Source organism: Homo sapiens, chromosome 22 (genome assembly GCF_000001405.40).
Source record: "Homo sapiens chromosome 22, GRCh38.p14 Primary Assembly".
NCBI classification, from domain to species: Eukaryota; Metazoa; Chordata; class Mammalia; order Primates; family Hominidae; genus Homo; species Homo sapiens.
Window position 1 is genome coordinate 25,416,872 of NC_000022.11, and position 20,774 is coordinate 25,437,645.

The 20,774-nt window shown below is 47.2% G+C and overlaps 1 long non-coding RNA gene across 1 annotated transcript, besides 2 other annotated features; it reads right to left on the reverse strand.

Moving 5' to 3' along the window:
* Positions 1 to 1,103: 1,103 nt before the first annotated feature.
* On the reverse strand, positions 1,104 to 10,487 carry LOC124905095 (uncharacterized). Its single transcript, XR_007068037.1, has 2 exons — positions 3,498 to 10,487; positions 1,104 to 2,445 (listed from the first exon to the last, which is right to left on the reverse strand). It is a non-coding gene; the product is annotated as an uncharacterized LOC124905095 (long non-coding RNA).
* Positions 4,162 to 4,341: a silencer, noted in NCBI's record as "silent region_13560". NCBI's record gives its function as "represses an Ori minimal core promoter by ATAC-STARR-seq in GM12878 lymphoblastoid cells {active_cell/tissue: GM12878}" and the evidence as "EXISTENCE:reporter gene assay evidence [ECO:0000049][PMID:35858748]".
* Positions 14,104 to 14,604: an enhancer, noted in NCBI's record as "H3K27ac hESC enhancer chr22:25826942-25827442 (GRCh37/hg19 assembly coordinates)". NCBI's record gives its function as "activates a minimal SCP1, AML or CMV promoter by ChIP-STARR-seq in primed H9 embryonic stem cells {active_cell/tissue: H9 hESC(primed)}" and the evidence as "EXISTENCE:reporter gene assay evidence [ECO:0000049][PMID:30033119]".

A 20,774-nucleotide genomic window follows, 5' to 3' on the forward strand; every position in this document is an offset into this window, starting at 1 on the left:
GAGTGAGATGTTTGTAAATAAAGCCATTCAAACATCAATTGTGTGTGGTTTTCTTGAGAAGCAACTGTATTTAAGGGACTGCTTATACAAAATCAAGTTCTTCTTAGCAAGGATTGCTTTAAATATTCAGACTTGAATGAAGGCCAGTCATGTTCTGCCATTTTCAAAAATTTTCTAACTGAAGTCTTAGAGTTGATTTTCTTTTCATTTGTGATTAATTTCCCAGAATAACATTCCCAGCTCCCACCCCACCCAGCGTTTATAGATTCTGAGTGTAGGAAGTCCTAGTAAAGCCCAGAATCTAAAACAAGTAAGACCAGTCAGCTCTCTAGTTAGCTTTTTTCCTTCAAGTTGTTAGCAAAATAAACTCTGGAAAGCCTAAACTTTAATGCACCCATCTCAGCAACATCTCCTGTAACGATGGAAAGGCACAGAAAAGAAGAAAAGGGAACATTATTAATCTTGTGGGAACGCTGGAGTTTTGTCTATTATCACAAGCAGCGTGAGCCCCAAGTCATTTAAATCCTCTGGGGGTGGGAAACATAATTATTTGCAAGGGAGCATTATTAGCTAAGTACAAATGGGTTGCTATTTGTTTTCTCTGTTCTTTGTGATGATTACAGGCTGGGGATGGCGTTTAGTAACAGGATCCAGCAGGTCAGTTATGACAACTTCATCACTGTCATTAACCCCTTTTGTTTGCAGTGAACACAAAAAGCTGTTCAGTATCAAGAGAGTCAAGAAAAAGAGAAAGAAGAGGGGGTAGAGAAAGTGAGACAACCAAAGAGACAGCCAGGGAACAGAAATTCATACACTATGAACACCAGAAAAAAATACCCCTGGGTAATTGAGTCACCTGACTCAAATGGTGTAGGGGCCTCAGTTAGAGGATCAAATTTTGGACTCCTTGGTCTTTCTGCCAAAACAGTAATTGCTCATACTTATAAATACAAATGTTTTTGCCATTTGGTTTCCTAGAAATGCCCTAGACGGAGATGTTATTTTTGGTAAGGGGTCTTCCTGCTTCAAGTATAATGACTGTGAACAACTAGTTTCAGTATCTTCTCTAGCATGCCAGGGTAAAATGAAGCAAAATAAATAGAGGAAGTGCTTATAATCTTTATTGAGGATCTACCAGGTGCCAGGAAAGATGCATTTTTCTTTTTCTTTTTTTTTTTTTTTTTTTTGTGAGACAGGGTCTCACTCTGTCACCCAGCCTGGGGTGCAGTGGTGCAATCTTGACTGACTGCAGCTTCCACTTACTGGGTTCAAGCAATTCTTGTGCCCCAGCCTGCCAAGTAGCTGGGATTACAGGCGTGCACCACCATGCCTGTCTAATTTTTGTATTTTCAATAGAGACAGGGTTTTGCCATGTTGGCCAGGCTGGTCTTGAGCTACTAGCCTCAAGCTATCCACCTGCCTCGGCCTCCCAAAGTGCAGGATTACAGGTGTGAGCCACCGCACCCGACAAGTTGAATTTTTATGTGCTTTTTCTCCTCTGTCTTCTCAAAAAGCCGGGGGTAAAAGGCCTCATTTCCACTTTTCCTATGAGAACAACAAAGTAGAAAGGGTAAAAGATTGCCTCGAAGATCACCCAGCACAGAGCAGGGATTTGATTTCAGGTGTGTCTTGTTCCAAACTTACTACACTGTGCTGCCGGGGCAAAAAAAGAGCAAAAAGAAAAACCCAAAAGGTTCTTAACTGAAGTTAAAGATGACCAAGAAAATGTAGGCAGATGTCAGGTCTGATCATGTGGATGCTCAAATGATAAACAGACACATTGAGAGAAATTGTATTAATTAAATCATAAAAACATGTTCTGCTTTTCTGGGGAATTTACTGCTCCATGTGGCGTGACCCTTGACAAGACATTCTGTCTTCCTGTTTTATTTTTTATTTTTTATTTTTTGGGACGGAGTCTCACTCTGTCACCCAGGCCGAGTGCAGTGGTGCAATCTTGGCTCACTGCAAGCTCCGCCTCCCAGGTTCAGGCCATTCTCTTGTCTCAGCCTCCAGAGTAGCTGGAACTACAGGTGCCTGCCACCACACCCAGCTATTTTTTGTTTTTTTTTTTTCTATTTTTGTAGAGACGGGGTTTCACTGTGTTAGCCAGGATGGTCTCGATCTCCTGACCTCGTGATTTGCCCGCCTCAGCCTCCCAACTGTCTTCCTGTTTTTAAGGAAAAAAAAAAAAAGTGGGTAGAAGATGAAAGTTTGATATTTCGCTCATGCATAGCTTTGTCTCATTAATATATTTTGTGCTTGCCTGTCATTTCAGCTTTCTGCTGCCAGACCAAGCTCCTTTGACTGCCATTCCTACTTCTGACACTCCTCTTGTCCTTTTCAGGACAACTTTATGCCTATTGTGCCTTGGATCTTGAGAAATATGTGGTAAAACTGGCCAGTGGTGATGGCAGGCATAGCAGGGAATCAGATTGAGGGGGGCTGCCGGGTGAGAGAGAAAACAAAAGAGGGAAACAGGCTACTTGATGACGGAATCAGGCTGCTTCTGCAATGACATTACATGAAATAATCTGAAATACGATCTTAACTGTATCTGGTGGGTCCCGTTAACCCTGTAAGTTATGGACAGAACATTTACTCAAATTGTAGCCAAGTCTAGGCTCATGGGAACACGTGACCAATTCAGGTGAATGAAAGGGACTTTAAAACATTAATTTCCAGCTTAGGTCTTCCTAAGACTGCCTGCATGTTCCTTAACACCACTCCAGCCTGAGTGTCACGTGGATCCTGAATGCGGACTTGTGTGCACACTGCTGAAAAATAAGCAACTGAAAACCCCAGGCAGCGGGGTGGAGTGATGATGAAAGACACCGAGACCTATCGGGAAGCTGGAAATTCCCCCCCAGCTTCGGTGTTTGGGCTGTATCTCGCTTTTCCACTTCCCTAAATCACCCCCGTGGTGCGAGTGTGCTCGCAGCAGATGCTCCCTAATTGTCTCTTGTATTTGTAGCAGGATGAGCAGCAAACAAAACTCCTCAGACACCGAGTTAAAGAAGGAAGGGGTTTATTCAGCCGGGGGCATCGGCAAGACTCCCGTCTCAAGAGCCGAGCTCCCCGAGTGAGCAATTCCTGTGCCTTCAACTCTAAGTGGGTGCGTGTGAGAGGGTCGTGATTGATTGAGCAAGCTGGGGGTAAGTGACTGGGAGCTGCACGCACTGCTAAGTAGATCGGAACAAAACAGGATAGGGATTTCACAATGCTTTTCTATACAATGTTTGTAATCTCTAGATAACATAACCGATTAGGTCAGGGGTCGATCTTTAACTACCAGGCCCAGGGTGTGGCGCTGGGCTGTCGGCTTGTGGATTTCATTTCTGCCTTTTAGTTTTTACTTTTTCTTTCTTTGGTCGCAGAAACTAGGTATAAGACAATATGAGAGGTGGTCTCCTCCCTTATATTGACAGTAAAACCCCAAGGGCAGGAATACTCTTATTTCTCAACACCATTTCAACAACCAAACTAAAACCTCTCACCTGAGTGTAAGGGAGTGGTGACCTTCTTAAGCCGGGAGCTCTTCCATCAGGGGGTTCCCTAAGGGCATCTCTGTTCCTAGCGGGGGAGCCGTCACCCCACTTTGCTCTGCTTAGCCTGAGACACGCAATTTTCTCCAGCTTTTACTCTTCGCTGAATTCTCAAGGCGGGGTTGGGGGGATGTTCAGGCTCAGGAAGGAGGTTGGGGGCCCGGCCGCTGGACGCTGTTCACCGGTAGCCCGGACCAGAGCAGGAGTTTCATCACCACCTGCGGGGACAGGTGGGACACATGCATTTCCGGGGCCATCCTAGACCTCCTGGAGGATGCTGATTGACACTGTCCAGTTTGAGAACTACTGTGTCCCCGGAGCAGAGGCCTCCCCATTGCCCTTGGGTAGCGGGCGTCGGGCACAGGGCTTCTCCGGATGAGCGGGGCGGGCATGAGAGCACATGGAACTGGGGGCGGGAGGTCGGGGCAGCCAAGGAGGAGAAGGAGGAGGCGGAGGGGGAGGGAGGGGAGGAAGAAGAGGAGGAGGAGTCCTTTGTGGCCACCCGGAGGGGAGAGACTTGGTTGGGAGGCGCCAACCGAGCTGGCCGCTGGGACTCTGCACCCAGGTGCGCCAACCCTTGGGCGCACGCTCCCCGCAGACCCTCGCTGAAGGAGCGGTGGGCGGCGCGCCGCGACCCTGGCGGGCTACAGATTACACCGCTTGCAGGGCGCTGCTGGGGCGCGCAGAGCGGGGCTGCCCCAGGGTGGCTCCCCCAGGTTGGGGCGCGGCGGGCGGCGGCCGCGGGCGCGCGTCCCATCCGGGTCCCGAGTAACCGCCACCGCCGCTGCCAAAGCTCGCCAACATGGTGGACCTGGAGGCCGTGGTGGCCGATGTCAGTTACCTGATGGCCATGGAGAAGAGCAAGGCGACCCCGGCCGACCACGCCTGCAAGAGGACCGTCCTGCCCGAACCCACGTACCACCTGCCCCGGCCCGCGCCGGTCCCCGACGCCGCCGCCCCCTGCGGCCGCCAGCGACCCCCTGCGTCCGGGAGAATCGGGAGCTGAGCCGTCGCTGTCCCGGAGCGGGTGACACAGCGGAGCGGGCGATGCGGGGCCGGCCTCCTGGCTCCAGTCTCTGAAATGGGGCATCGGAGGGCGGGTGGGGGGCACTCCGGGAGAGAGCGCTCCAAAGTGCCTGGCGCCGCGCCCTGCGCGCAGCTAGCACCCCAGCAAGGGGCTGGTTATGACTTGGCTGGACCAGTTCCATCCCTGTCGCCCCCTCCCCCAGCCCTGTCCTCTCCTGTCCCATCCCCGTGGTTCTACCTGTTGCATTGGTGTGGTCCCTTTGGGCTCCTTGCCTGTCACTCGTTTGCGCTCCATCCTGGTCGCTCCTTCTTCCCGGGCTCTGTGGTTCCCCTTTCCAACTCCATCCTTTCAGCTCCCTCTGGGCCGATTATCTGGGGACTGCAGGCTTGTTGCTTACTGTCCGAGGTAGTTAAACTGCTCTTTTCAGTGCTTGCTCTTCTTGAAGTCCCTAAGTCTAGTCACCTTCTTCGTCTCCTCTTCTATTGTCTGCCCAGGCAGGATTTCGACCCACTCAGTATTCTTTTTGGTGCCAAGTGTGTCACCTGAGCTGCTTTCCTCAACTTGCAGATCTACTGGTAGTACTTTATTAAAAAATTGAAATGGGATTCATTTAAAAAGGCACTTGAATGGATGATTCCAGACAGGAATTTGTTGTTAAATTATCAAAGGAGGGCCTGATTGAATTGGCGAGGGGCTCGGTGAGGTCCATACCAAGTTGCAATTTTCCCTCAAATGATTTATTATTAAGGAACTAGTAAAATTTTTTGCCAGCTCATGTCATTAGCACTTCCCCGGAAAAAAATAGTTCATCAGGTTAATAGTGAGTTTTAAATAATGTATCAAGGCTTCAGCGATGGATTTTTTTTTCTCTAGCTCCTTTCCTAATTAACACCATCATGAGTTGTACAGCTAATGAGGTTCCTTAATGCTAAATAGCTCTTTGAATTGATGCTCAAAAGAGGCATTTTCTTTATGGTGAATTTGAAACCATGCAATTCTATAAAATGTTGGAATTTAAACCAAAGTTATTGTCCATTTGAAATCATCAGTCCTTCAAGTGTTAGGCGCCCAAAATTGCTTAAATGTTACCTAATGCTAAGTGATCATAATGTGATTTTTTTACAAGTCCATCTATGAGCCCTATGATACAGAAAATACCAGTCCCCTTGTTATTTCTTGTGAAAAAGCTAAATTGTGCAAATGAAGACATGCTTGCTAGATATTTTGGGCTTGCTTCTCCCTCCTTAGCCCATGCCTCTTGTTGGTTTTGCAGGATGTGCTACTCTTTGATAGACAATGCCAAGTAGTGAAAATAAGGAAAAAGTGCAAACCCTTCTGCAATGTCGTGAGTTTAACACCCCTATGCCAGAGTGTAGCATATCAGAAGCTAATTGAAAAAATCAATGCTGCTTAAAATTTCTGGCAAATGGGAAACTTACTTAGAGAACAAGAACTCCTATATCAAACCTAAATTTCACCAAAAAAACTGAATATTTCTATAAAGGTGGTAGAAAATTCCTTTTTCTCTTGCCTTTCCTAGTGTCCCTCCGCCACCCAAGGTCAGGGAGTCCTGAATATGTAGGGTTTCTAGATATAAAATTGATAAATCTCAACTCATGGGCAGTTTTTTTGGGGGGGGGTAGTATATAATATTACTAAAGTTAGGAACTTCTGTTCAGTTTTTATTTTTTTTCTTGGGGTTTCCTTTTTTAGTGTCCCTCTTAAGAACATACTTATGTGCTTAGGATGTTCACTTCCTTGTATGAATGCCTTTGTTTTTCAGTGGTATTCTTTGTTAATGCTTTAAGGCAGAGTAAGTGACAGCCAGCATATTTCTCGTGACATTTGAAAACTGAGAAATACCAACCAGAGAGTAATTTTAGGAAACAGCCCTTCAGTAATTGTTATTCTGTTGCTCTTTTTAAAATAGACTCTCCAATTGGGCCATTGGAACCTCCTCCTGAGATTCCAATTTGTTTCCTTTTTTCTTTTCTTTTTTTTTTTTTTTTTTTTGAGATGGAGTCTAGCTCTGTCGCCCAGGCTGGAGTGCAGTGGCACAATCTTGGCTGACTGCAACCTCTGCCTCCCAGGTTCATGTGATTCTCCTGCCTCAGCCTCCTGAGTAGCTGGGACCACAGGCGCCTGCCACCACACTTGGCTAATTTTTTTCGCATTTTTAGTAGAGATGGGCTTTCACCATGGTGGTCAGGCTGGTCTCGAACTCCTGACCTCATGATCCGCCCACCTTGGCCTCCCAAAGTGAAGGGATTACAGGCCTTAGCCACCGCACCCCGGCCTGTTTTCTACTTATCTTAGTGGCTTTGGCTTTAGTTTTATAATGTAGCCATTTACATAGTAACAGTCACTCCTTGTGCTGTGTTAGGATTCTGTTACATTGAGATTATCAGGTAAAACATCTTGCAAAATTCTCTCTACCACGGGATGGCAGTCAGTAGCCTACCTGTTTGATTTGGAGGTTGGGGGTTGGGGAATTTCTAGATCCTGTAAGAAAGTTAATTGCGTGTTAAAAGTCTCAGCCTAATGACTTAAATGGCTGGTATGACTTCACGCTGTTGGTAAAAGGGATTCGGGTCAAGTGTTTTTTGACAAGAGTTTCTATATCAGCTTCATTATAGAGGAAGCCATGTGACCGCCAGTTTTTGGTATTCTTGAAAGAGATGTTCAGATTTGTATTTTTAGTATCTGAATGAGAAGCATACATTTTAATTTGCCTTTGGTCTATCACTAGTGATTTTTTTATTTCCAGCTAATTATTTGAAGTCACTATTCTTGGTGCTTCCTTATTTTAGTTACTTTGCCTTTTCCACAATTTTAAAACAGAAGAGCATCAGAACGAAATATCTAGCTAATTTAAATGAAACAATGGGTCTGCAGTTTCCTGCCTATTACAGGAGAGTCTCAGAAAATGGAACATTCTGTCTAGGGGAGATTTTGCTTCCCTGAGATGGCAAGAGGCACACATTTTGTTATGTTGACACATTATTCAATTAACCAATGAGTGCAAATCCTGGAAAAGCTGACTATTTGTCCAAATGGTATAGCTGCTTTAGTTTACTGAAATGTTGTTGAGCTAATGTAGCTGATAATGGGGCCTACTGGGAGTAGTAAACTGTGACCCACAGACTCCCTTGCAGGCCCAGTTAAAACAGGAGCATTTAGATGTGCAGGCCAGTTGTTTTACATCATGTTGGAAAAGAAATACTTTTTTTTTTTTTTTGAGATGGAGTCTTGCTCTGTCACCCCGGCTGGAGTGCAGTGGCGTGACCTGGGCTCACTGCAAGCTCTGCCTCCCAGGTTGATGCCATTCTCCTGCCTCAGCCTCTCGAGTAGCTGGGACTACAGGCACCGCCACCATGCCTGGCTAATTTTTTTTTGTATTTTGTTTTTTTTTTTAGTAGAGACGGGGTTTCACTGTGTTAGCCAGGATGGTCTCCATCTCCTGACCTCATGATCCACCCACCTCGGCCTCCCAAAGTGCTGGGATTACAGGCATGAGCCACCGCGCCTGGCCAAGAAATACTTTTATTTAAGTAAGGTCTAATTCACAAGCAAAGTCCCACAAAGGGTCAACATCTTAAGCCCTCAAGTGATTCAGACGACTTTTACTGTAGGCGGTATTACTTTGTTACTCTTTTTAAAAACAGAATGAAATTCAGATGACTTGAAATCACACATAGTTGAAAGAGGTTGAGTAATGTGAACTTCATCTTTCCCCTGGAGTCTCATTTCTATTTACTGGACATTTCAAATGTTGGATCACCTATTGCAAAGCTTGTCCTTTCAAAGTATTCATAAATATGATAGGAAGGTCTGAAACAACATTTTAAAGATTCTTTATAATTTTCTAGGAACACTGACAGTCCTTAAAGGACATTTATGATACCATTTATGACATTAATTCAGTACATAGTTGCAGAGCCATTTCTATGAGCCAGGCATGGGGTACTATGACAAACCCAGCCACGGCCCCTTCCTTCATGGAGCTTATAGACTAGTGTGAAACATACAGAGTTGAGTCAAGAAGGATGTTTGCTTTAAAGTGTAATTGCTTGAAGATTTTATTTAACCACAAACAAATAGTGTATGGATAACTTTTATTATTCTATACGCATAGAATATAGAATAATAACAAAGAATGAATATAGAATATAGGATAATGCATAGAACACATGATGTTTAGTGTTTTACAATAATTTGTTAGTGAGTACCTTTGAAGAACTATCTAAACATAGTCTCCATAGTGATATGGTAGTTTGCATCTTTCTGTTTGTGTAGCCACCACAAGTGGCCTTGTTTTCTTCTTTAGTGGACATGGAATTTATTTAGTAATTTTCTAGCTTCAATCAGTAAGTGATTGGTGGATAACTTGAAATTTTCTGCTCCATTTAGGCTGTAGAGTTTTCTGTGTCTTCACTGTCCTGTGCTCATAGCCCAATTTTGAACTGAAAAGTCCATGTTGAAAGCACAAATAGCCTTTAGAAAGAAAGTATTCCTTATTATTGATAGGAGTAGTTCTATGTGTAAGAAACGGTAGTGTTCTTGCTTCTTTACATTATGGTACAAATTCAAAACGTAAATTGTAATTTGTGATTTATTTTGTGTTTATTACAGTAGATGGTCATTTAATTCATGTTTATTACAGTAGATGGTCATTTATTTAGAGTTTAAGAAAACTCCACTAAGATTTGTAGATTGCATGTTATAGTTTTATATACATTAACTCTTTTTAGTTTTTACAATTATGCTTGATAATAGGTAGAAATTTCAAAAAGAAAAAAATTACTCCAGATACATCCATGTGGAGACATTGAGAGGTATATTTTATCTGTTTGAGGACAGCTGGTTTTCTCCTTAGATACTAGTATCTTGACTGTGGGGCAAGGAGTGGCTTTCAGCCTTCCAGACTCAGAAACTAGATTTTATTATATCACTGTATTAAGCATCTGTCTCTTATTGTGAAACTCACATAATCAGCCAAGTCTGCCTGACTAAATTATTCTCTTTCTATAGGCCTCTGGTTCTTATTTTAAGATTAAAGACCCTTTTGAGAATCCTACTAAGTGAGAGCCTCCCCCTCCCAAAAGTGCGCTAACTCACTTACACAGATTTATCTGAAAAGCTACACTATAACTAGAATGTCCAGTTTGCTACATTGCATTAAACACTGGCTCCCACAGGAGCCTACGTGCCCAGCGTCTGTGTGGCTGGAGCTCTCTCTCTTGTGGGTCCCCCTTGTGGGAAGCAAAATGACCATCAGAAGGTGGTGTAGCGGGCACAGACCCACAGTCAGATGAGTCAGATGGTTACTTGGGACCAAGTCACCCCTCCTAGGAGAGGCTTACGCTGGATGTCCAGTACTTGCAATCCCCGACTACGGTGGCTTTGGGACAAGTCATCTTTCCTTATTTTCATGTTTCCCATTGTAATTGGTGGGCACACGTCCACTGGATTTGAGACTATAGTTCATGAAACCACTGCCAAAGCTGCCTAGACCAGAAACCTTTGGCATTTCTCGGCCCTTTGTGTTATGTATTGACTTAGTTTTTATTCTCAGAGAGCAAGCTTTTTTCTTTATTTAGAGATTCTGGAAATGGCTCTGAAATACTCATTGTCTTATTTTAGAAGAAGGAAATTCAGGTTCAGGGACAAGCTAATTGCTAATTGCACAAGCTGATGGCTTCTGCTTCCAGTAGGGGGAGGTAAAATAAACTATGTTACGTCCATGGTAGGGAACACTAAACATTTAAGATATGTTTTTGACAACTGTAATGGCATAACAAATATTTTAAAACATTTTAAACATTTGAAATATTTCTATTTTAATTTAAAGTTTACTGTTTTTGGTGTAGCTAATAAAACCTAGTATAATTTTTAAAATATCATTGACTCATGTAACTATCACAATTGAAATACAGAATATTTCCACCCCCCCCCCCCAAATTTCTCTAAGCACTCCTTTTTTAGAGACACAGTCTCACTCTGTCACCCAGGCTGGTGTGCAGAGGTGAATCTCGGCTCACTGCAACCTCCGCCTCCTGGGTTCAAGCGATTCTCTTGCCTCAGCCTCACGAGTACCTGGAATTACAGGTGCGAGTCACCACACCCGGGTAATTTTTGTATTTTTAGTAGAGACGGTTTCGCCGTGTTGGCCAGGCTGGTCTCAAATTCCTGGCCCCAAGTGAGCCACCTGCCTCAGCCTCCCACAGTGCTGGGATTACAGGGGTGAGCCCCTGCTCTCAGCCCTTACGTTCCTTTTACATTCAAACCCTTTCTGTACCCCAACCATGGCAACCACTGGCCTCTTTCTGACCCTATACTGTTGCTTTTTACAGAATATCACAGAAATGCAAACGTAAAGGATGTGACCGCTTTTTAAATTAAACTTTTTATTTTGAGATAATTGTAGCTTCTCATGCAGTTGTGAGGAAACATACAGAGGGATCCCAGGTACTCCGGCCAGTTCCCTCAACGGTAGCACCTTGCAGCTACAGTAACGGATCAGAGCCAGGAGATTGACATTGATACAGCAAGAAGGGAACACTTCCCTCCCAAACATCCCTCATGTTGCCCTTTCACAGAAACACTCTCTTCCCACTGTCCCAAACCCCTCCTTAGCCCCTGGCAACTATTAATTTGGTCTCCACTTGTGTAATTTTGTTATTTCAAGAATGTTCTGCACATGGAATCATACAGTATGTGATTTCTGGGGACTGGCTTTCTCCCACTCAGCATAGTTTTCTGGGTGTTCCTCCAGGTGGCTCGGTTGCAACATACTTTGTTCCTTTTTAATACTAAATAGGAGTCTAAGTATGTAACCTTCTGAGTCTGGCTTCCTGAGTTCAGTGTAACAATGTTGCAATTCATCCCAGTTGCCTTATTGATCAATAGTTTGTTCCCTATTATTGCTGAGTCTGATTCTCCGTCTTGCTCTGTCACCCAGGCTGGAGTGCAGTGGCGAGATCTTGGCTCACTGCAAGCTCTGCCTCCCGGGTTCATGCCATTCTCCTGCCTCAGCCTCCCGAGTAGCTGGGACTACAGGCATCTGCCACCACGCCCGGCTAATTTTTTTGTATTTTTAGTAGAGACGGGGTTTCACCGTGTTAGCCAGGATGGTCCCGATCTCGTTTAGCCATTCACCAGCTGAATGACAATTGTGTTGTTTCCACTTGTGGGGTGTGTGTATGTGTGTGGTGGGTCAAACCAGATGTTTCTGCTGTTCTGTGTGTGTGTGTGTGTGTGTGTGTGTGTGTGTGTGTGTGTTTTGAATAGCAGGTGTTTTCTTTTTAATTTTTTTAATTATACTTTAAGTTCTAGGGTACATGTGCACCGTGTGTGTATACAGATGTTTCTGCTTTTTGCCAATGGTGAATAAAACCAGTATAAGTATTTGCAAACAAATTTTTGTTTGAACATAAGTTTTCATTCCATTTGGATAAAAACCTAGGAGTAGGGTTTGCTTGATATGCATAAGCATATGTTTATTAGAAATTGCCGGCCGGGTGTGGTGGCTCACGCCTGTAATCCCAGCACTTTGGGAGGCCAAGGTGGGTGGATCACGAGGTCAGGAGATCGACATCATCCTGGCTAACACGGTGAAACCCCGTCTCTACTAAAAATACAAAAAATTAGCCGGGCATGGTGGCAGGCGCCTGTAGTCCCAGCTACTGGGAAGGCTGAGGCAGGAGAATGGTGTGAACCCGGGAGGCGGAGCTTGCAGTGAGCCGAGATCGCACCACTGTACTCCAGCCTGGGCAACAGAGCGAGACTCCGTCTCAAAAAAAAAAAAAATTGCCAAATGGTTTTTAGAGGGGAAGCTGGTGGGGGTGGGGACATAGGGGTAGGGGAGGATTCGGTTAATGAAGCCTCCACCAGCCCAGCTGGGAAATGGGCCTGTATCCAGCACCGAGGTGCCCAGGCCCTGTGCCCAGACCTGAGCTAGACAGGGTCTCAAGATCGCAGTCAGTGAAGGGTCAGAAGCGGCATCTTCTGCTCCAGAAGCTTCTGTTCATGCAGGCCCTGCCCCCTTCTCAGGGCTCTGTAGGAACTGTTCAAAATGCTAGGTGCAGAGCTATGGCCAACTGTAGGGCACAGCCAGACACTCAGAGCTCAGAGGGACCCAGGGTGGGCAGGATTGGCCAAAGCCGGAAGTGGGTACCTGCAGGTCACACGCCACCTGCTGCCTCTAGACCTTGGATATTTCAGGGGGCTTGGCCAGTTACAGGGAGGGAAAGGGAAATGGGGACCCTTCCAATTGCTGCCGTGGGACCCTAAGGTCTTGGGTAGTGACAAGGAACCTGGAAGCACAGCTGCCCCCAAGAGGCCTTCCAGGGTCTCTCCTTCATGGGCAGGACTTCAGACTGGACAGTTACTTATCCGTTTTTCCATCAGTCTGTCCATCCATATATCTGTCCATACACACACACACCCACCCTTCCACAAGCCCCCTGAGGCTTCCTGGGGCCTGACCTATATAGACCCTCAGCTCCTGATGTCCCAGGCAAGGCAGGATCGGCCTAGCCCAGCCCCAGGTGAGACCTGAAGTGTGCCTGCTCATGCACCGTGGCAGAAGGGGACTGTGGCACTGGGGTCCCCTGGGAGTACTTGTCCCTGCCCAGTCCAGAGCTCAGGCTGCAGGAAAGACCCTCTGTGAAGAAAATGAGGGGCAGGGGATACTGGGGATTCCATGTCAGCAAAGGTGGCCTGGGGGCAGTGGCAACCTCAGACAGGCCTGGGAGCTGCAACCAGGGCTGGAGGGCAGAGGGAGGAAGGGCATGCTGGAAGATGGGTGTGAGCAAAGGCACAGGAGTGACCTCAGCGCCCCTTCTCTCAACAGGGATATGGCAGGTGCACATGGGCCCCCATAAAAGCACGCTGAGGGATCATCTCAGAGACCCTAGAACCTGTCTGCCATACCACGTGCTCTGCCACCCTGCTCACCACCCAAAAATTCCTTCCATTCTGCCGCATGGCTGGGCCCTGCACTGGGCCAGGCCTTCATGGCGGGCAGGGGACAAGGGAGGGAGGGGGTCTGGGCCCTGAATGGGACACAGACAGTGGCCACCTGGTAAAGAAGACTGAATGAGCAGAGGATGCGGGTAGGCAGGTCCAGGGCAGGGCCCTGCAGGGTGCACAAGAGTTCTCTGGGGTGGATGGTAGACCAGGGCTGTGAACACGCACGCTGGGCTGGGCCAGCAGGCTAACATGTCCTAAGCCCCAGAGCTCTGCAGAGGGGCAGGAACAGGGCCCAGAGGGAGCAAGGCCGAGAATAAAGGCCCTGAATGCCTCAGATCTGGCCAGATCTGCTAAAGACAGTTGCGTCCTGTGTTGAAACGCTATTGAGTGGCCTTACTGTCCCTGTACCATTTATAAAATATGGGACACGTGTTATCCGGCTGAGCCACTCAGGGATTCTGTGGGGCCCACAGCCAGAATCACGGTCCCATTTCATAGGTAGGATAACTGAGGCCCGGAGCAGTTAAATCCCAAAGAGTGAGGCAGAGCCAGCTCAGGGGTGTCCTGACTTTCAGCCCAGGGCCTCCCATCTGACAAATGGGGAAATCGAGATCAGGAGAGGAAGGGGCCTGCCCAAGCTCACATGGGAGCACACCTGTATGGAACACACTTGTATGGAGGGCGCCTGTATGGAGCACTGCCCTCTGCCAGGCACGAGATATGCTCAGGTGGGGTGACCTCCCTTTACCATTCCCCAGCTCTGACCCCATTTCGGGGATGCAGAAAAGAGGCCTCAGAGCAGAGTAAGGCCGAGTCAGGGCTACAGAGTCCGATGGCCACCCCTCCCCTGAACGGCTAGGAGGAGGGAGGGCAGCTGGCAAAGGCCTGCAGGAGCCCAGAGCGTGTTCTTCCAAGTGGAGCCTCTGCTGTGGGAGCCCCAGCCACGGGGTCAGACAGAAAAGGGGTCCCGCCCAAGCTCAGCCCTCAGCAGCCCTTGACCTCAGGCAGTTTGACTCCCTTCAATGGGCTTCAGTTTCCTCCTCTGTACAGGGGGGTGATAACAGTCTCTCCCCACAGGTTGGTTTTGGGGATTAAATGAGAATGCCTAGGGAGTGCCAGGCCCACGGGGACCCTCACCTACCCACAGCCATTGCTGTTATCTCCTGGGTTCTTGCCTGGGCCTGTGGGTGACACACTGTGTGATCCTGGGCAAGTGCCTTTCCCTCCCTGGGCCCAGCCTTTGCTCTGGTCAAGGAAAAGCTGGGTCAGGGACCCTGAGGACCAGCCATTCAGGAAACCAGTAGCTTCCTGGGTGAAGGAGTTGGCCAGGGAGGCCTGGAGGGGCAGCGTGGTCTGAGGTGAGAGTAGGGTGGGGGCCAGGCCAAGGGATGGGGGTGGGGGATTCACCTTCCCAGCTCTGGTGGCCCTGCCTGCAGCTGGCTGACCTTGGGAATCCCCAGGCTAAGGTTAATCTTAACACTGACCTAAACCAGAACTCAGGGTGACAAGGGAAAAAACTAAGGCAAGGAGAAGCCAAGGCTGCCGCGTGGGATGTGGGACAGGAGAAAAACAAGACAGATGTGGCCAGGGAGAGGGGGAGCGTATTTCAGGGCTGCACTGGGTGTTCATGCAGCTCACAGGTGAGGGTGGAACAGCCCTCTCCCTACATCCCACCTGCTCCCAGCCCCAGCCCCCCACCAGGCCTGATGCTGCCCCCTGGCTGCCTTCCCACACCCTGAGCTCCACCTTGGGTCCTGGAGCTCTGGAGGACCTGGCTTCAAGGGATCTTACCTACCCCTTCCAGGACCCTCTTTGACTAAGGAAAAGCTGTGGCCTCCCAGAGATGCAGCCTTTTCCCAAGTCTCCAGACTCTTCATCCCATCTCATCCCCAGCTTAGTGCCTGGCGCATACACGGCTCCCAACCAACAGTTTATCTGTGTATTTATGTACTTCTCTTTCTTTTTTCTTTTTTTTTTTTTTGAGACAGGGTCTCCTTCTGTCACCCAGGCTGGAGTGCAGTAGTGTGATCATGGCTCACTGCAGCCTTGACCTCCAGGGCTCAATAGATGCCCTGGCCTTAGCTTCCTGAGTGGCCGCATAGCTGCACCTATAGGTGACCGGCTAATTTTAGGTTTTGTTTTGTTGTGTTGTGTTGTAGAGACTGGGTTTCACCATGTTGCCCAGGCTGGTCTCAAACTTCTGGGTTCACACACTTCACCTGCCTTGGCCTCCCAAATTCTGGAATTATAGATGTAAGCCACTGTGTCCTGCCAACAGTTTAAATGAGGGAGGGATGGAAGGAGGGAGGAAGGAAAGAGGGAAGGAGGCAAGGAATGAAGGAAAAGAGAGATGGGTCTGTCAATGAAAGTTATTACAAGAGACAAAGAAGGACATTATATATTGATAAATAAGTTACTTCATCAAGAAGATGTAACAATTAGTACATGTGCGTCTAACCACAGAGCCCCCAAGTATAGGAAGTAATGACTGATGGAATTGAAGAGAGAAACAGACAGCTTCGCAATAATAGTTGCAATACTATACTGTCAATACTGGCTAGAACAATGAGACAGAAGATCAATAAAGAAGTAGAGAACTTGAAAAACTATAAATCAGCTAGACCTGACAACATCTACAACAGACTCACAGAATACAGATTCTTCTCCAGCACACATGGAGTGTTCTCTGGAATATACCTTGTATTAGACCATGAAACAAATCTCATTAATTTAAAAGCACTAAAATCAAAATATCTTTTCTGCGAGAGAAAAAGGTAGAAATAAGAAAGGAAATCTGAATTCAGGAATATGTAAAGATTAAACACACTCCTAAACAATCAATGAATCAAAGCAGAAATTACAAGTGATGTTCGAAAATTCTTTGAGATAAATGAAAATGGAAACAAAGCACACCAAACTTGTAGGAGGCTGTGAGACCAGTGCTCAGAAGAAAATGTAGAGTGGGGAGGTCACGGTGGGAAGATGGCATGAGGCCAGGAGTTTAAACCAGCCTGGGCGACAAAATGAGACCCCTTTGCACAAACAAAAATAAACAGGTGGGTGCCATGTACCTGTGGTCACAACTACTTGCGAAGCTGAGGTGGGAGGGTTCTTGAGTCCAGTAGATCAAGGCTACAGTGAGCTGTGATCGTGTCACCACACACCAGCCTGGATGCAAGACTCTGTCGGAAGGGGAAGGGGAAGGGGACAACCTTTGAACTGCAACCCTGAGGTTGGACCTGGGGAGAACTGGCCTCACAGGAAAGAGAAGAGGTGCTAGATGGAATCAGACTCTCAGAAGAGACAGAAAGGAGATGAAGGTAAACAGGGAAAATGACTAGGACCCACTGTGCAAGACTCTGTGCAGCAAAAATGACGTAATGGGATAATGAAGGGACAGTTTCTATTTCCTACAGAGCAGGAGTGCCCCTGAGAGCTCGAGTGAGAGGACAGGCTGTGGGTTCCTGGGATTTCAAACATTTGGAGCGGGAATGCAGGGATGTAAGATGATGTGTTTTCCAGTCCCCTGGCCAGCAATGATGCTTCTCAGTTATGAACATCCCCCATGGACACTCCTAGGGTCTTCCTGTCTGAGGCAACTTGTCCTCTCAGTTCCTCCTCCCTAGATCTCTTTAGAATTATTTCCTGGGTTAGGGTTTCCTGAGAGTGGAGGAGAAGGAGCTATGGATGTCCCCCTTCCTCCCTCACCATGGTTGGAAGTCTGGCCAAGGCCACTTCATTAAGGGACAGGGGACCTTTCCTATCTCCTCAGGGGCAGCCTCCTGAGTTGGTCTGACCCCCAGATTTAACCGGAACACACTAGAACTTTCCACACCAGAACTTTCCACACCATCTGCACATGGAAAATGTGTGTCTGTTCATTGATTTATGAAGACACCTAGAAAGATTAGCTATAAACAACGTGTTTATTTCATTTTAGGATACATTTTCAGAGGCAACTAGGTAGAAAGGTGAACTTTCCCATCACTTAGACCTCAAGTCAGCAGCTCATGCAGCAGTGATTGCTCGGGTGACTCTGAGTGACCTGTTCTACCTCTAGAGCTGACGTTTCTGTTCTGGTTAGGCTAAATGGAGGAAATAAAAATTCTCCAAACATTTCATTAAGATTCACTGGGAAACAGTACCCTGAGTGCTTAGAGCTGCACTCCTCACACAGAAGACACAGTAAGGGTTAGGGAACCTTCTCAGGGGATGAATACACACGAACTTTCACCACAGCGACCAAGAGCTTATATTGGGAGTCTGATTCCGGCCTCTAGGGAAGCTGGAAAATCCAAAACCAATCTCATTAAACTATTTCATCTACTCATAGGAGGAGGTCCAGCTCTTATAAAACTGCCAACCCTTCCTTCTCTCCCTCTCCTCACCCTCCACCCACAGGACAGGGCCGGGCACACGGAGGAGGGACACTGAGGACCTGGGTGGTGGAGACCCTGGCTTTCCTCTCTTCTCACCCATGGTGGGCTCTGCTTATCCTCATCTTTTCTTCCCCAGTTAGGGTTTCCTGGGAGGCTGTGAGTTGTCTGGGGACCTCATCAACATTTGCACAAATGCCCCAGACTCTGCTCACCTCTTTCAAAGGGGCTCCTCCCTCTGAGCCTGCAATGTCTGTGTGATTGGGAGGTGTCACCTCCAGGCCCTGAAACCACAGCACCCGCAGGGTCTCTGGCCCCAGTCTGAGGTTTCTCTACAAGCTTTGGAGATGAATGAAGCCTCTGTTTTAACAGGAATAGATCGGTTTATCAAAGCATGTAAAGGCCAGATGTTCGTTTCTATGTTAGGGATCCTGAAGAGTTGTTTCAGAGTGGATGAATGACTGTCACATCCTCAGTGGCCCTGCCACTCTGACAGATGAGTAGTCACTTGTCATACATCTTGTTCACTTGAACTTCAACGACTGAAAATACAAACAATTAGCCAGGCGTGGTGGTGGGCGCCTGTAGTCCCAGCTACTTGGGAGGCTGAGGCAGGAGAATGGCATGAACCCAGGAGGTGGAGCTTGCAGTGAGCCGAGATCGCGCCACTGCACTCCAGCCTGGGTGACAGAATGAGACTCTGTCTCAAAAAAAAAACAAAAAACAAAAAACAAAAACATTCTATTTATGATTTGAAATGGAAATAACAAAAAGTACAATTACTATCATTTCAACTACTAATTAAGCAAGTACAGAAGAAATCTATGACATTTGAGAAGAGTAATCTGCATACAACAGCACCTTCCTCTTGATTTTGATGTGAACCACCACCAGCTGTTTCAACACTTGCTCTCATTTAACTGAATAAGAGGTCAGCAGCAAGGTTGTTGAATTACTGATGTTTTCCACAGTGATTCATTTTAATGTATAGTTGATTTTACCATGAATGTAAAAAGTGTGTTTTTCTCCTTTGTATGTTATATTTTAATAATAAATTGAATTTTTTAAAAATGCGGCCAGGCACAGTGGTTCATGCCTGTAATCCCAGCACTTTTGGAGGCCAAGGCAGATGGATCACCTGAGGTCAAGAATTTGAGACCGCCTGGCCAACATGGTGAAACCTCATCTCTACTAAAAATACAAAAAAAAAAAAAAAAAAGCCAGGTGTGGTGGCACACGCCATCTGTGCTCCCAGCTACTCAGGGAGGCTGAGGCAGGAGAATCACTTGAACGCAGGGGGCAGAGGTTGTAGAGAGCCAAGATCATGCCACTGCATTCCAACCTGGGTGAAAGAGGGAGACTCCGCCAAAAAAAAATAAATAAATAAAAGCATCATCCTGCTTTGACAAGAGATGGAAGTCTGTTCTTCAGGATTTCTGGGAGTGGGAATCTTATTGTCTTGTGTAAAACTCCACTGGGGCAAGCGTCAGAATCGAGGAGTGACCTTCTCGCACCCCTGGACTCTTTTTGACTATGTGAACTAAAACATGATAAGAAGCTGTCATTTTAACCCCCACAGTGACAGTTTCCCCACAACTGAATTCTAATCTTAAGTGATGCACTCCCCAGAATGTTCTGGACAAGGCCTGGTGCCATCCCTGCTGCAGTCCCTGGAGGGAGAGCAGGGGGTCTCCTCGGGGCCACCGTGGAGTCTCTGGGGCAAGAGGGAGGCTGCCGGGGGGAGGATGACAGGTCTGCTCACTTGTGGACTGGACACAATTCCTTCTAGGCTGCCGGGGGAGGATGACAGGTCTGCTCACTTGTGGACTGGACACAATTCCTTCTAGGCTGCCGGGGGGAGGATGACAGGTCTGCTCACTTGTGGACTGGACACAATTCCTTCTAGGCTGCCGGGGGGAGGATGACAGGTCTGCTCACTTGTGGACTGGACACAATTCCTTCTAGGCTGCCCTCTGGATGTGAATTCCAGATGCACAGGTAATGTAGCAGCAGAAATTCCTCTGAGATTATGTCTGTGTATAGTTGTGTTGGTTTGAAAAGTGTTTTGGTCATTTGAGTCTTCATACTTAGTAAACAAACAAAAATAAACTGGAAAAAAATTCTGAATTTGTAAAGTGGTATCAATAGTGTAGATACATTTTTTTTTTTTAATTGAGATGGAGTCCCACTCTGTTGCCCAGGATGGAGTGCAGTGGCAGGATCTCCTCTCACTGCAAGCTCCGCCTCCTGGGTTCACGCCATTCTCCTGCCTCAGCCTTCTGAGTAGCTGGGACTACAGGCGCCAGCCACCAGGACGGCTAATTTTTTGTATTTTTAGTAGAGACGGACTTTCACCGTGTTAGCCAGATGGTCTCGATCTCCTGACCTTGTGATCTGCCTGTCTCAGCCTCCCAAAGTGCTGGGATTACAGGCATAAGCCACCACGCCTGGCCTAGTGTAGATACATTTTAACATCAACAAAGAGACGGGCCAGCATCTGGGGGCCAGCAGGTTTTGTCCCACTTCCCCGCCTGCCTGTGTCGCTGTGAGAAGCATCACTGGTCCAGGCATACAGTAATAGCCTTGTTCTCTAGCTGGGCCCAGAGATGTAAAGAATCCCTGCATTTTCAGGGGCATCTTTGGTTCCAAAGAAGCGGCTGGGGACGCTGGAGCCCTGGTGCTTATTTGAATGCCAGTGGTAGCTCAGGAGATGCTGGAGAGGGCTCCCTGGCTTCTGCCATCTCCAGTGTATCCCATAGTCACCAACATTGAAGCCACTGCTCAGGGTGCAGGGGAGTCTGGCAGATGCTACCGGGGTTGCAGAGAGGGAGGGCAGCTGAGTCAGCACAGGCT